The sequence below is a fragment of the Homo sapiens genome, chromosome 3, assembly GCF_000001405.40.
Source record: "Homo sapiens chromosome 3, GRCh38.p14 Primary Assembly".
NCBI classification, from domain to species: domain Eukaryota; kingdom Metazoa; phylum Chordata; class Mammalia; order Primates; family Hominidae; genus Homo; species Homo sapiens.
Genome location: NC_000003.12, coordinates 6,492,631 through 6,509,038, shown reverse-complemented (window position 1 = coordinate 6,509,038; position 16,408 = coordinate 6,492,631). Strand labels below are relative to the sequence as shown.

The window sequence follows — 16,408 nt, the reverse complement described above, 5'->3', positions numbered from 1 at the left end:
ATGTTGATAACATAAACATACAGATTTGTAAATTAGAAGCTTATATATTTCTATAGGAAAGAAATGATATTTTGCTATTTTGATAGACTGTGTGTGGGCTGATTATAGGTTACAGAGCATTCAACTTTTGCTTTAAATCGGGTCCTTCTGGTAAAATATAAGGCCTATAATATTAAGGTATACTTAAAGAAACAGAAACATTATTCTTTACTGAAAACATGCATATGTTTAATTAAAGCAGAGGAATATTACTTTCTTCCGAAAAGCACTGTTCTTAATAGATGTAAATACATGTAAACATGTAAACACAATGCTAACTGGTGAATTCCATAACTGATCTTCATGTCAGATACAGTTAACATTCAAAGCAGGAAACAAGCAAACTTATTTCTTTAGTCAGAAAAACTAACACTGAGTACTTAGCGTGTGCTGTTACTATTTTGGAAGGACAAAGACAAAACCCAAAGATAAATTAGACTGTCACTCTGTCTTGAGGATAATCATGGTCATATGCAAAACGACAGAAATTCACTACCAAATGATAGAAGCCAATGTTCAAACCAAAGAAGGTTAACAACTTAGGGTGTCTCCATATAATGGGAATATAGTGGCAACACAGAATCCTATTTTAAAAGATATTAAACATTATATTAAAATGTTTCCATTATACCCATATAATATTACAAAAGTAAGTAGATAGATGAAGAAAAGAAGGAGAAGAGAAAAGGAAATGAACACAAACGGGGAGAAAAGAAAGGAAAGGAAAAGAAGGGGAAAAAGGAGCGGAACTGAGAAGGAAGGAAAGAAGGAAGCAAACAACTGACCAATGGGAAGGAAATAAGCAGTGCGGTCGGTGTTTATAATGGAATTGTTAGATTATATGTATTTTATTTTTTATACTTTTTTCTCTTTCTAAATAATGCAAAACACCATTCCAAAAATAGTTAAATAATTAATTCTAGACAACAATCGCTTACGACCCCTTTACCAAATAAAGTCTGGAGTTTCTGTTGTTTGTATTTTGTCTTTTTCCATCTAAATATCACAGCTTTATACGTATGAAAAAAACTCAAAATTGAACTTAACTTTCTTCAGGCCAGGCGCGGTGGCTCACGCGTGTAATCCCAGCACTTTGAGAGGCCGAGGCGGGCGGATCACGAGGTCAGGAGATTGAGACCATCCTGGCTAACACGGTGAAACCTCCTCTCTACTAAAACAAAAAAAGCAGCCGGGCGTGATGGCGGGCGCCTGTAGTCCCAGCTACTCGGGAGGCTGAGGCGGGAGAATGGCGGGAACCCGGGGGGCGGAGCTTGCACTGAGCCGAGATGGCGCCACTGCACTCCCGCCTGGGCGACCGAGCGAGACTCCGTCTCAAAAAAAAAAATTAATTAATTAATTAAGTTTCTTCACTTTTATTGACCAAGAAAGTTAAGCTTCGTTTTTTTTTCATATTTTAAAAAACTCTATATCTCCTTACCGTCTCTACCTCCTCTTCATGCCCACCAACCAATTTAACATTCTGCTGTGTATATTTCTATACCTTTTATCATTCTAATACAAACCTCTACAATCATTTATGAAATATAAAGGATTCTTTGCTTTGTTTTTATGTTTTTATGCAGCATGCTTCTCTCACTTTTGTGGACATTATTCCAGGTCAAAAGATAATAGATTTAACTCATTAATTTTAATAATCACCCAAAAAAATGAATTTAATGGCTGTTACTACAGGTGGGGAATTCTTATAGCCTGGGAGCTACACCATCAACACAGGAAAGTCACCGTATTGTGATGCTTTCCATGTTCCATTGTATGAATGAACCGCAGTGGTTTCAATAATTTCCCTATTCACAGATATTTAACTTGCTTTCAATGTTTTCCCTTTTGTTTCGCCCCTACACCCAGCACTGTAAACATCCTTTTACATATATATTTATATTATTGTATCTTCCTTATCTCATTTTACAGTGGCCTTATGTTATTTACTTACTCAGAAACACCAGTTAATGATATTTTTAAGAAATATAATGTTCAGAGTATACCAGTGCTATCAAGAATGTGCTATGGGAGTCCACAGGGAGTAACTAAAATAAATGTACAGTTTTTGAGGTTATTAGGTTCCTATCTATAAATGGTGCTTGAGTGGCAATTTATTTTCAATCAAAATAGAGAAAGTATTAAATCCAAAGCAGACAGCATCCATCCAGGTACAACAAAGACAGGACCAATAAACTGACCCTGAGCAGAATGAGAAAGTGGTAGTAGGTACAAAGCTCAAATGGGTAAATACAGTATTTTCAATATATATACTATTTAGAGTTAAAATGGTCTTTATTTATACTGTGGTATGTGAATTGAGGAATAGTGTGGAAATAGTATTTAACCCTATCAAAAAAGTATCTGTGATCTATTATTTTAACAGTTCATTCCGTGATTTTAAACAAGACTATCAAAGAAAATGAGCGAGATTGATGCATTTTCCCTACTAAGTGCCAAGCACTTAATGAGATCTTTTACTTTCATATTTTATATTTAATTATTATCAATTTTATTCTTTTTTTCTTTTTTTTTGAGATGGAGTCTCCTTCTGTCACCCAGGCTGGAGTGCAGTGGCACGATCTCAGCTCACTGCATGCTCTGCCTCCCAGGTTCACGCCATTCTCCCGCCTCAGCCTCCCAAGTAGCAAGGACTACAGGCACCTGCCACCACGCCCTGCTAATTTTTTGTATTTTTAGTAGATATGGGGTTTCACTGTGTTAGCTAGGATGGTCTCAATCTCCTGACCACATGATCCACCCGCCTTGGCCTCCCAAAGTGCTGGGATTACAGGCTTGATCACCGTGCCTGGCCTATCAATTTTATTCTTATGATACTGCTGCCATAATCATCACCAGCTTACTGATAAGGAAACAGGATCACAAAGGTTTAAAAATGGCTTACAAAATGACAGAGTTGAGATTTAAAGTTAGCTCATAATTGCAATGCCCCGTCCTTCAAACTTTATGTACTGAGAAAATTTTTCAAACCCTTGGGCAAGACAGGTAAGAAAAATTCCCTAGTAAAAGCAGTAAGATTGCACATAGCATTGTGGATGGTCACACCTATCCATTCATTCCTTGGGAAGCATGACTGCATGGTTTTATGTTTCTTTTTCCCTAAACTTTATTTTAAGTTCAGGGGTACATGTGCAGGTTTGTTACATAGCTAAACTTGTGTTATGGGGGTTTGTTGTACAGATTATTTCATCACTCACGTATTAAGCCCAGTACCCATTGGTTACTTTTCCTGATCCTCTCTCTCCTCCCACCCTCCACCCTCTATAGGCCCCAGTGTGTGCTGTTCCCCTCTATGTGTCCATGTGTTCTCATCTTTTAGCTCCCACTTACGAGTGAGAATATGAGGTATTTGGATTTATGTTCATGCATTAGTTTGCTAAGGATAATGGCCTCCAGCTCCTTCCATGTCCCTGCAAAGGAGGTGATCTTGCTCTTTTTTATGGCTACATAGTATTCCATAGTATAATGTACCACATGTTCTTTATCTAGTCTATCATTGGCAGGCATTTAGGTTGATTCCATGTCTTTGCTGTTGTGAATAGTGCTGCGGTGAACATACATGTGTGTGTGTCTTTATAAGAGAACAATTTATATTTTGGAGGTATATACCCAGTAATGGGATTACTGGATCGAATGGTATTTCTGTTTTTAAATCTTTAAGGAATCACCATAGTGTCTTACACAATGGTTGAATGAATTTACCCTCCCAACAGTGTATAAGCATTCTCTTTTCTTTGCAACCTGGCCAGCATCTGTTATTATCTGACTTTGTGACAAAAGCCATTCTGACTGGTGTGGGAATGACTGCATCTTATGTATAAATCTCATTGCCTCTTTCATAGTCCACGACACATGGCAGGCATTCAATTGATCTGTCTGGAGCTTAATTAATATTTATCAGTAAAGCCTCAGAATTCCTGGGAATCTGTACCCCATTCTCACCACTGGAATGATCACAGTAAGGATTTTCCCACATAAAGAAGATTCATTTTATTTCTTCATTTAATAAACACATACGTATGTACAACTGTGGAAACCTAGACCAGAACCAGCCGCAACTGCAAATGAAGACTGAGCCAGGTGAGGTAGCTTCTCAAACCACAGGCAGCAGGATTTTAAGACATGTTCCCCCAGGCTATTAAAAAAAATCTAACACCTTGGGGAAAACTTACTGATATTTAGACAAAAATAAATACACTGCAGGAGTTGGGTAGATGGGACTTCAGCTTTTCTCATTTTTCATGGGGAGAGAAACATTCATACTTTTTAAGACTATATAAATCTCTAAAAGTCAGAAATGTCCTTAAAGTATTCAAACTGCTCATCAAATCTCTGTAGAGAAAACCCCTGACATTTTTGATGGATATATTCTGAGACCTCTGCAATCATCACATTCAATAATGCCCCAAAGCACCTCATTTTACTCACGAAATACAATAAATTATGGCAGGAGAGAGCTATTAACAGTGGGAGGTCAACTACATTCAATGACTAGCCATGCATAAAATTCAAACCTAAGCCTCAGCCAGACTGTAAAGGCCTTCCTTGACATGAACTTCCCAGTATAGTATCTTCTGTGTAAGTAAAAATGTGAACGTTAAACCCAAGATGGGAACAAGTCTACTAAGTTCACTTCTTCCCTTCCCCCAAGCAACTGTTATTTCTCCAGTTCCAGGAGCTGTTTATATTGTAATTCTTCAGCATTTAACACAGTTTTTGGTATAGGGGAGACAAACAATACTTGTTTGTTGAACTGACTAGAGATAGCAATGGTTTTAAAAAATAAATTAGACAGAGCTTCTAATTCCATAAATATCTGCATACTTTTGAAATGTCCTAGGAAAAGAAATCATTTTAGAATAGTGTTTCTCAATAGTTTCACCATAAGAGCCTAATAGATAGAGAGAGGAGAACATGCATGCTTAGTAACTTCTTTTAGTTTGATTGGATGTTTTGTTTTATTGGGAGAAAGGAGGTACAGACTTTTTTTAATGAGGAATTAGGTTTAAGAGTCTGCTTAAGCCGGGTACGGTGGTTCATGCCTGTAATCCCAGAACTTTGGGAGGCTGAGGCGGGCAGAACACGAGGTCAGGAGATCGGGACCATCCCAGCTAACACGGTGACACCCCATCTCTACTAAAAATACAAAAAATTAGCCGGGCGTGGTGGGGGGCGCCTGTAGTCCCAGCTACTCGGGAGGCTGAGGCAGGAGAATGGCGTGAGCCCGGGAGGCGGAGCTTTCAGTGAGCCGATATTGCACCACTGCACTCCAGCCTGGGTGACAGAGCGAGACTCTGTCTCAAAAAAAAAAAAAAAAAAAAAACGAGTCTGCTTAAATTTGTTCATGTAAATTCCTATAAAAATTATAATCTACTTTATAATATATCCATGCTTGTTTTAATATAACAAGTCTATTTTAAATTCTTTGCAAGTTAAATTATTTAATAATCCCTCACATAAAAACATTTTTAGTTATGATTGACCCTTTAGATGTATAGAAGATGTAAACTATTTCTACAGTGGGATGGACACTCATGATATGATATTACTAATTATCTGGGGTAGAAGTTGCGTGTCTAAAAAATATTTTTTTCAACTTTACTGAGGCATAATTGACAAATTAAAATTCGACATGTTGAAGATATACAGTGTAACGATTTGACATAAGAATACAATGTGAAATGATTACCACAATCAAATCAATTAATGTATCAATTCCATCACATAGTGACTGTTTGTGTGTGTGTGTGTGTGTGTGTGTATGTCTGTGTATAGGGGGTGTAAGGACACAAACAACATTAAAAGTGCAGCATTCACAGCTGAAATCTAGAGGAGTAATGGATGCCTTCAACCAAGATGTTGGCCATCAGCCCAGCGGCTACATTAGGTAAGCACTGTGTTTGGTTTGGCCATTGTGGTTGGCTGGCACACAGCTTTCATATTTTAAGGGGCAATCGGTTTGAAAGGTCAATGTAACTAAGCCACTGTTGAGGCTGGACATAGTACAAGAGCTTAGCACCTATGGTCTGATGTTAACTTTACACTTTTATGTTGCCTGGTCCCTGGGAGTATTTAAGTTTGAAATTTCTGGTTTAGAATCTCCCACCAATGAACGCATTTCATGCATATACTTTTACAGGCTGAAGTATGTTCACCGAGCTTTTCTAGGTAAGGCATTCCTCCTCATAACAGAGGATAGAACAAAATAAAAGATACGGTAGTTAAACAGCATATATGATAGTGTTGGAATCAGTACAAGTTATAAATGCTGTCCAATAGCTCAGTATGTAAGTGATAGCTAATAACAATGTTAGAGGGATCTTATAAGACTATACAACATAAATAACTTTTATAATGTAAATTTATTTGCATCTTAAATTTAGGTAGCAGGAATTCAGGAAGAAAATAAATAATCCAAAAGCACAATAAATAATCCAAAATGAAAGGAAAATCTCATAATGATAGAATATTTCAGTTAGAGAAGTCAATGATGTGTTTAAAAATGTTTTAAACATTTCAAAAACAAGTATTTCATGGAGAAGAATTTTGAGATATGAATGATTGGATATGTGCTGAGTTAATACTTTTCGTAGGAATTGGTAGAAATTTAGTAAAAACTGAAATAAAAAAAGATACACAGAGAGAATATATTACCTCATGTAAAGAAAAAAATTCAGAGTTTTGCACTTTCAGGCATGGCTTGATCAAGAAACTAAGTGAATGTCATCAAAACCAAGCCTTGTTTCTACTTATCTCTGTTATCTGCTTTTCTCTCTATTGGTCTCATTCTTAAACATAATTTTTCCCCTCATGATGATAAGATGTCTAGTAAAAGCTTCAAGGTTTACATTTCAAAACCCAAGTTCAGGGATGAAGAGAGTAATCTCTCCTCCAAAAGTCTCACAGTTGGTTTTGATAAGTTCTGATTGAATCTTTTACCCATTCCTAGAATAAACATTGAGACCCGAGAATGTGATGTTTTGATGGGCCAAGCCTGAGTCACATATGCACCCAGAAGCTGGTAGCAAAGTCAACTGAGTTTGGTTACTACATTGGCTGAAAGATGAAGAAAATTAGTATCCCAAAGGGAATACTTTACAGTATTAGTAATAGAAGAAAAGAAGGAGGCTGGGCAGAAAAATAAAACAGTATTCACTATTGGTATTATTAAATTTTAAAAATTCTTCAATGTCAAGACAAGAAGTTATGATTTTGTTCCACTTTTAATGGTAATCAGGGAGAGGATAGGTACTATAATAAAATGTGAATTAAAGAGAATAAATCAAATAGCAACTGGAAGATTGAATCACAGTGGGATTCATTGGACATTTTCTTTGGCATTTTTTGTCACTTTCCACAAATAAAAGAAGATGGGAAATTACAGGGAATAAATACTGTATGAAAGGATATCATTGACATATCACTCCTGACAGGGCTAAGCTAAAGGTTATGGAGATAAGTAAGTCTGGAATAAAATATTATTAAACTACTTTGTCTTATTTAGTTTTGATTTAAAAGTACACCAGGAAATACGATTTATCTTTTGTCTGGAAGTAATAAATCAAATAATTTTTAATCGGATGAAAGAGGAAAAAAAATGGGAGACTCAGAGGAGTGAGACAGTTATTTGTCAAAATGTGAACTTAAGCAATAATTCTGCAAATTATCTTTCCCCAGTCAGCTGTTTTCATTACATAGTGTTTGGTTGAAAAACAAAGCAAATTTGTGTTGTTAAAAGTAGGCATTATGATAGCAGAAAGTAATGGTGAGATAGAACAATTGTAGCAAGTAGAAAAGAAACTTAGCTTTGTACTCAAACAACTTCTTAAACGGAAAGGCTTAGAGGGAAATGGAAAAATAACTCCTGCCAACTTTATGTCTAACAGAGATTGACTATTTTTCTTTGAGGTTCTTATCATGTAAGGAGCTCAGAAATACCTTCAATGCATGAGTTAATAAAAAAGGATGAGAAGCCACCCTAAGGAAAAAATAGGTACAACAATACTGCTGAATGCTAAATTTCAGCATACTGTCTAGAGGACTTTAAGAATTTCTTATTACTCATAACTTTTAACTTACATTTTGAAGGCATTAATGACTTTTCCATGTACTGCATCTGCCTTAAACAAGTCTTTGATTCTATCACAGGTTTATGAATTCCCTGATGCCCCCAACTGAGCTCTTTCATCATCTGCCTCAACTGAATATCAGCACAGAAAAGACTTTATATTCAAACATGACCCCCTACTGGGAGAAAATATATTATAGACTTAGAAATCTTGTGTTAATCTTTTATGGAAATATTGAGGGTATTTTTTTTGTTGCATTATCAAGTGCTAAACTTCTAGATGATGAAAAACATATTGACAACAATAACTGTTGAATCCTAATACGCACCAGCTAAAGTGATAACAGGAAAACCAAGAATCCAAAGGAATGTCCCAGAGGCAAAAGGAAGCGGTTGTTACCAAAAGGAAAACACAATGTAAGCGTCCCAAGTAAACAACAAGGTAGGAGTAGGGTGAGGGCAATAACCAACCACATGAAGGTCATTGGGTTTTGACAAAAGCAGTTCAACGGAGTTTGAGACAAAAGCTAGACTTTAACAAGATGAGGGTGAATGGAAATGAAGAACTGGAGACATGTTTGTAGAGAGAACTAGCTCTAGAAGTTACACTTTAAATAAAGGCTAGAGAAATAGGACAGATGCAGAAAAGATAGGTGTGATCAAGGGAAGGATATATTTTGTTTTTGTTGACGTTTTGTCATTTATTATTGCTTTTCTAGATGGAGGAGGTGAAAGCCTTTTGGATTTGGATGGAAATGATCCAGGAGATAGAGGGAAGGTTCAGAAGAGAGGAAAGATAACCAGTGTAGGAAAGTGGTTGCAGAGGTTGTAACAGGTGGAAGAAAAAAGATGAGCACAATGCAGGGAAGGTTAGAAGACTTTGTGGTGGAAAAATACAGGAGAAAATGGAAGATGGTTTGCTTTTCTCATGCATTTAAAGAAAGGTGATAAGCTGCGTGTGAGGAATATAGAAGAGGGAAAACAAAAGAAGTTAAAGATAGCTATACATCTTCAGATGGTAACATCCCTATAAATAAAAATAAGAAACCAAGACGTATTCTTGTAGAAAACATAATGATCTACCTCTTCATATTTTTAGTTGGCAGTGCCTGAGTGACTTCCAGTTAAGCTAGCCAGTCAGCTCTAGAAATGAGATATGACATTGCAAGAGAATTATCAAGACTAGAAATCCAGATTTGTGACTATCCAGGCAAAGATAATAGTTGAAGCCATAGCATTTGATGATGCAGACAAAGAAGAACATAAGGAAAGAGTAGAAAAGGTGAGCAAGAACACAGACTTGGGAAATGTCTATACTTAGGGAAGAGAAGCAAAAATTTGACTCAAAGGAGACAGACCAGAGGACGTTGAAAGCTAAGGGGAAGTTTCCTTTAGAATAGTGACACAACAGCAAACCGCAAACTCTTTTTATTATTATCATATTTTAAGTTTTAGGGTACATGTGCACAATGTGCAGGTTTGTCACAGATGTATAATGTGCCACGTTGGTGTGCTGCACCCATTAACTCGTCATTTAACATTGGGTATATCTCCTAATGCTATCCCTCCCCCATCCCCCCACCCCACAACAGGCCCCGGTGTGTGATGTTCCCCTTCCTGTGTCCATGTGTTCTCATTGTTCAATTTCCCACCTATGAGTGAGAATATGCGGTGTTTGGTTTTTTGTCCTTGCGATAGTTTGCTGAGAATGATGGTTTCCAGCTTTATCCATGTCCCTACAAAGGACATAAACTCATCATTTTTCATGGCTGCATAGTATTCCATGGTGTATATGTGCCACATTTTCTTAATCCAGTCTATCATTGTTGGACATTTCGGTTGGTTCCAAGTCTTTGCTATTGTGAATAGTGCCACAATAAACATATGTGTGCATGTGTCCTTATAGCAGCATGATTTATAATCCTTTGGGTATATACCCAGTAATGGGATGGCTGGGTCAAATGGTATTTCTGGTTCTAGATCCCTGAGGAATCGCCACACTGACTTCCACAATGGTTGAACTAGTTTACAGTCCCACCAACAGTGTAAAAGTGTTCCTATTTCTCCACATCCTCTCCAGCACCTGTTGTTTCCTGACTCTTTAATTATCACCATTCTAACTGGTGTGAGATGGTATCTCATTGTGGTTTTGATTTGCATTTCTCTGATGTCCAGTGATCATGAGCATTTTTTCATGTGTCTTTTGGCTGCATAAATGTCTTCTTTTGAAAAGCATCTGTTCATATCCTTTGCCCACTTTTTGATGGGGTTGTTTGTTTTTTTCTTATAAATTTGTCTGAGTTCATTGTAGATTCTGGATATTAGCCCTTTGTCAGATGAGTAGATTGCAAAAATTTTCTCCCATTCTGTAGGTTGCCTGTTCACTCTGATGATAGTTTCTTTTGCTGTGCAGAAGCTCTTTAATTAGATCCCATTTATCAATTTTGGCTTTTGTTGCCATTGTTTTTGGTGTTTTAGAGATGAAGTCCTTGCCCATGCCTATGTCCTGAATGGTATTGCCTAGGTTTTCGTCTAGGGTTTTTATGGTTTTAGGTCTAACATTTAAGTCTTTAATCCATCTTGAATTGATTTTTGTATAAGGTGTAAGGAAGGGATCCAGTTTCAGCTTTCTACGTATGACTAGCCAGTTTTCCCAGAACCATTTATTAAATAGGGAATCCTTTCCCCATTGCTTGTTTTTCTCAGGTTTGTCAAAGATCAGACAGTTGTAGATACGTGGCATTATTTCTGAGGGCTCTGTTCTGTTCCATTGTTCTATATCTCTGTTTTGGTACCAGTACCATGCTGTTTTGGTTACTGTAGCCTTGTAGTATAGTTTGAAGTCAAGTAGCATGATGCCTCCAGCTTTGTTCTTTTGGTTAGGATTGACTTAGCAATGCGGGCTCTTTTTTGGTTCCATATGAACTTTAAAGTAGTTTTTTCCAATTCTGTGAAGAAAGTCATTGGTAGCTTGATAGGGAAGGCATTGAATCTATAAATTGCCCTGGGCAGTATGGCCATTTTCACGATATTGATTCTTCCTATCCATGAGCATGGAATGTTCTTCCATTTGTTTGTATCCTCTTTTATTTCATTGAGCAGTGGTTTGTAGTTCTCCTTGAAGAGGTCCTTCACATCCCTTGTAAGCTGGATTCCTAAGTATTTTATTCTCTTTGAAGCAATTGTGAATGGGGGTTCCCTCACGATTTGGCTCTCTGTTAGTCTGTTATTGGTGTATAAGAATGCTTGTGATTTTTGTACATTGATTTTGTATCCTGAGACTTTGCTGAAGTTGCTTATCAGCTTAAGGAGATTTTGGGCTGAGATGATGGGGTTTTCTAGATACACAGTCATGTCATCTGCAAACAGGGACAATTTGACTTCCTCTTTTCCTAATTGAATGCCCTTTATTTCCTTCTCCTGCCTGATTGCCCTGGCCAGAACTTCCAACACTATGTTGAATAGTAGTGGTGAGAGAGGGCATCCCTGTCTTGTGCCAGTTTTCAAAGGGAATGCTTCCAGTTTTTGCCCAACCAGTATGATATTGGCTGTGGGTTTGTCATAGATAGCTCTTATTATTTTGAGATACGTACTATCAATACCTAATTTACTGAGAGTTTTTAGCATGAAGGGTTGTAGAACTTTGTCAAAGGCCTTTTCTGCATCATTCTAAAGAAATGTATAACAAGTAAAGTCCAGTGGATTTAGCAAGTGGACTGTGAGTTCAAGAAAGATTTTTCAGTACACAGACAAGGCTAATATGCCCAGACTCCATGGATTAGGCAATAAATGAGAGGAGTAACAACTGTAAACTTCTTTTGAAAAGTTTGGCCCTCAATGGAATGGAACAGTTAGCATAGCAGTTTGAGAAAAGAAACAGAATCAAATAATTTTTAAGAAATTGGAATGAAAAACTCTACTATGTGTATCAGGAGAAGTGTCCAGTGGAAAAAGATAAAATAAAAACAATAGTAACCTTAAAAAAGAACAAGATCATGCCATTTGCAACAGTATGGGTGAACATGGAGAACATCATGCTAAGTGAAATAAGCCAGGCCCAGAAAGGAAAATACTGCATAGTCTCACTTATATATAGAATCTTAAAAAAAAAAAAAAGCCAATTACATAAAAAAGAGAATGAAACAGTGGTTATCAGGGCTGACAGATGTGCGCAGGGTATGGGAGAAATGAGAGATGTAAGTCAAAGGGTACAAAGCTGCAGAAATATAGGATAAATACATCTAAAGATCTAATGTATAACACGAGGATTATAATTATAATATTGTATACTGAAAATTTGCTAAGAGAGTCGCTTTTAGTGGCTCTTACCACATACACACAAGGGTAACTATGCAAGATGACAGATATGTTAATGTACTTGACTATAGTCAAAATTTTACTATTTGTAATTATATCAAAACATCATGTTGTGTACCTGAGTATTGACAATTTTAAAAAAGAGAAGGCCCTAGTAAGAATGAGATCTTTGATGGACTGAAGCCTTCCGTCCATTCCTACAAGACATGGGTTGGCTCCATCTTCACCTGCAATCTCATCTCATGGCCCTGCCCCCTCATTAGATGCCCCATTAATGCCCCTGAACTCATCAAGTCAGTGTCAGATTCAGGATACAGTCTACGTTGTCCTTGGCCTGGATGCTCCTCACACCTAGAGCCTCATTCAAATGTGCTCTTCTTCAAAAGATCTTTTCTGATCACATTCGCTGAAGCAGCCTGCCCAGAAATCATATTCTATCACAGTACCATGTATTTCCTTGATATAACTTATCAAAATAGGAAATATCATGCTTTCTTCTTTGTTATCTCTAAGCTGCACATTGGGGAGGAAGCATCTACTTCATTCAGCAATATAATGTCCCTACTTGACATTTTAATATGCGATAAATCAATATTTATAAGACAAATAAATAAAGGTAGAGAAATGAGAATTACACAACACAGGAGGAAGTTCCCTTTAGAAATAAAGAGCGACATGTTCTATCTGTGAGATGGTTGGTAATGAGTAGAGTTAAGAAAAATTTTGCAGTACAGAGGAACAATTTTGAAGTAACTCAGTTTATTAAGATATGAGGGAAGGTTATCTGCTGAAACAATACCCCCAGTATCACCACGGCACTAACATTTCGGAGGCACTTATGATTTACTAGATAAAATATTCAGGGCTTTACGGCAGTATCCCACTTAATCCTCACAACAGCCTCATGGGGTAAGCCATAGTTGACCACATTTTACAAATAGGCAACTAAGACTTAGGGAGGAAAAGAAATATAGCTATGGTCACATAGTGGGGAAGAGGCCAAGTCAGGACTAAAACCCAGGCTTGCCCTAAATCTCACACTTTTATCTTTGTTGTTGGATTATCAGGTGTAAGGGACACCAGGTTGGACTTTGAAATATAAGACAGTAGAAAACTTGGGCATAGCTGCACACGAGTGTGTATTTGGAGTCCAGTTAAGGTGAATGAGAGCTTTTGAGTGGCTCTTAGGAATTAGTACTGTGTCACGTTAGTGAATCAGGGTTATGTTTCCCTGAATCCCTTTCTCTGCATAGTTCTGGCCACAAACAATTTGTGTGAATTGGGTAGGGGGAGAAGAGCATCATCTTTATTCTTTGTCATCTGAAAGTCAGAGCAGGGCACCAGTTGTCCCAAGTTGTCCCTGACCTATGGGTCCTGTTGGTTTGGGAAGCTGCTGAGCCCTCATGCCCCTGCACATGCTGGATTTCCTCCTCCACATTTCTCCAAATCCTAAGTCACCAAGTACTACCTCTGGGGCATCTACCCAGCATGGGGCTTCTCCAGCCATTCTGTCTCCTTCTCTAGCATCTCCACCTCCTAGGCCAGTGAATATTTAGTTCTATGACACAGGAAACCAGCATCGCTTGCAGGTGGCCTGGATCATCAAAGTTGGAGGTTTGGTGGTGCTTTGAGATGGCCATGGATTCCAGCCTCTCTCATTGGTTGGTTCCAGTTTGTTCATGCTCACTCTTGTTCTTTTTTCATTGTCCCTTCCTCACCAACCGCCTACCCTGCTGACTTCAGCCTCAGCACAAGTACAGAAGCAACCAGCATAGCCGATCTGTTTAGCTAGCCCCACAACTGCATTCATCAAAGCCTCATGAGAAATGTCTAATTTTATATCACTGTGTTTTTTTTCTAAAATTGAGCCCTCAGGGGCAAAAGAGGCCTAGTTCATGTAAGACAGTGTGACTATGAAATGGAGCCCACCGACACTTGTGCTACTATCCAACAGTGATTTTAAAATACAAAGCTGGGCATGGTGGCTCAAGCCTGTAATCCCAGCACTTTGGCAGGCTGAGGCAGGCGGATCACCTTAGTTCAGGAGTTGGAGAATAGCCTGGCCAACACGGTGAAACCCCATCTCTACTAAAAATACAAAATTAGCCAGGTGTGGTGGCACATGCCTGTCATCCCAGCTACTTGGGAGGCTGAGGCAGGAGAATTGATGAATCAGGGAAGCGGAGGTTGCAGTGAGCGGAGATTGTGCCATTGCACTCCAACCTGGGCAAAAAAGAGCAAAACTCCATCTCAAAATAATAATAATATTAATAATAATACAAATAATGAATAAGGACACAGAAAATTTCTGTGAGGGGATTGGAAATACAAATGTAGTTAAGCACAAGTGAGTTAAGGAATTCTGTGTACATCTCTTTGTAGCCCTTTGGATGTGAGCTCCCTTGGGTATATGTGTCACCTCTGAGAAGCCCACCCTGACTCTCTGAGCTGGGTTATATGTTTCTGCTGTGGTCCATGTTAGGACCCTGTGCTCATCTTTATGGAAATCCTCATATGCTAAACTCAGGCTGCATACTTATTTTTCTGTTTCTGTATCTTACACATTATTCTTCTCTAGCACCTAGATCAGTACTTCTAAAGGGAGGGAGTGAAGAAGGGATTTCTGTTTTATTCATTTCACAGTGCTTCCATATTACCTTGTAAAGTACTATGCACCTAGTAGGTACTCATACAGTTTTGTAATAAATTAGACATATCCAGAAATTAAATTAACAACAAGATTTTGTTTCATATATTACAGCTGTTTGCTTTATATGTTATTACTTTTCACATGATACTCTGCTCACAGTACCCTTTTTAAAAGTCTTTGGTTATTTTATAAACTTTCTTCTTAAATGTTTTCTAATTCTCATTGAACACCAAAGTCAATTATGTGTAACTCATTTAATTAACTTGGCAATGAAAATGCAGTGAATAAACAGTCAGCAGAAAAAAATAAATATGCTATAAAAGAAGGATTTACATTTATATTTTGTACAAAGTAAATATAATAAACATTGTATAGATAAAATGGAATGTATGGCACGCAAGACATCTGCAAGTTTCACTAGTGCATCAAGTAAAATTAGAAAATCATCCATTATAGCAAACTAATTGTACTTATGTATATGCTGTGTATATAATCACAGGAGTCCAAAGTGTGAAAATATTATAATTCTAGTTTAATGATATGAATTTATGACCACCTTATATGTGATTTTTCTAGTAGAATTAAACATAAACTAGTAGTCTAGGTGAGACCTCAATGCTATTCAGTTATCTTTCTACATAAATGTATTAAGTACATATCATCCTGAATTTAACTACTTATTGTTAAATATGTAATATTTTATTTTCCATCCACAAATTGAAAATGCATTGTTCGCTCTTTTCCCTGATTTAAATCTAGATATCACAAGTGATAGATTCTTAATATTAGGAGTAATCATATAACAAAAGGTGCAACTTGTGACACTAGATTGAATTGACCTACTGAGGTAACTTGGAAGAAAAAACACCTGAAATTATGCAGATGGAAACACACACACACACACACACACACACACACACACACACACACACACGAGAATATGGAGAATATATACATGAATACCTATATGATTTGCAAGATGGGGCCCAAAAAAAGCATCCAAATAAAACCTGACATCTGTGTAGAGGGGACGGATAGAAACGTCTCAGGTTGATTCCCTAGAGAACTACCTGCAGGTTTTCTGTGGCCTGCCTTATGTAATTGGGGAAATAATTCCTTGCTCTGCCTGTAGAATTTGTTCCTAGCTGGTGACCTAAACATAGTGCTCTCCAAGTGGAGTACATTATTTTTCTGGAAAAGATCTACTGAGTCAGTAATGGAGCTGTGGAGAGTAAAGTGAGCCAAAGTAACTCCAAACCTGCAAAAGAGATTCAGAGAAAAAATAAAGGGAGCTCCAACCAGGAGCAAAAGTCTTT

General features: G+C 37.5%; 1 long non-coding RNA gene across 19 annotated transcripts in view; it reads right to left on the bottom strand.

Moving 5' to 3' along the window:
- LOC105376944 (uncharacterized) overlaps nt 1–16,408 on the bottom strand; it is a 246,298-nt gene that overhangs the window by 227,701 nt on the left and 2,189 nt on the right. For 8 of the 19 annotated variants that reach the window (NR_188711.1, NR_188704.1, NR_188706.1 and 5 more), the window contains exon 1: nt 1,087–1,258. The exons of 9 other annotated variants lie outside the window; for them this stretch is intronic. This is a non-coding gene — a long non-coding RNA (uncharacterized LOC105376944). Of the gene's footprint in view, nt 1–1,081; nt 1,259–16,408 lie in introns of those variants that run through there. 2 more of the 19 variants (NR_188709.1, NR_188702.1) reach the window with 1 other exon arrangement.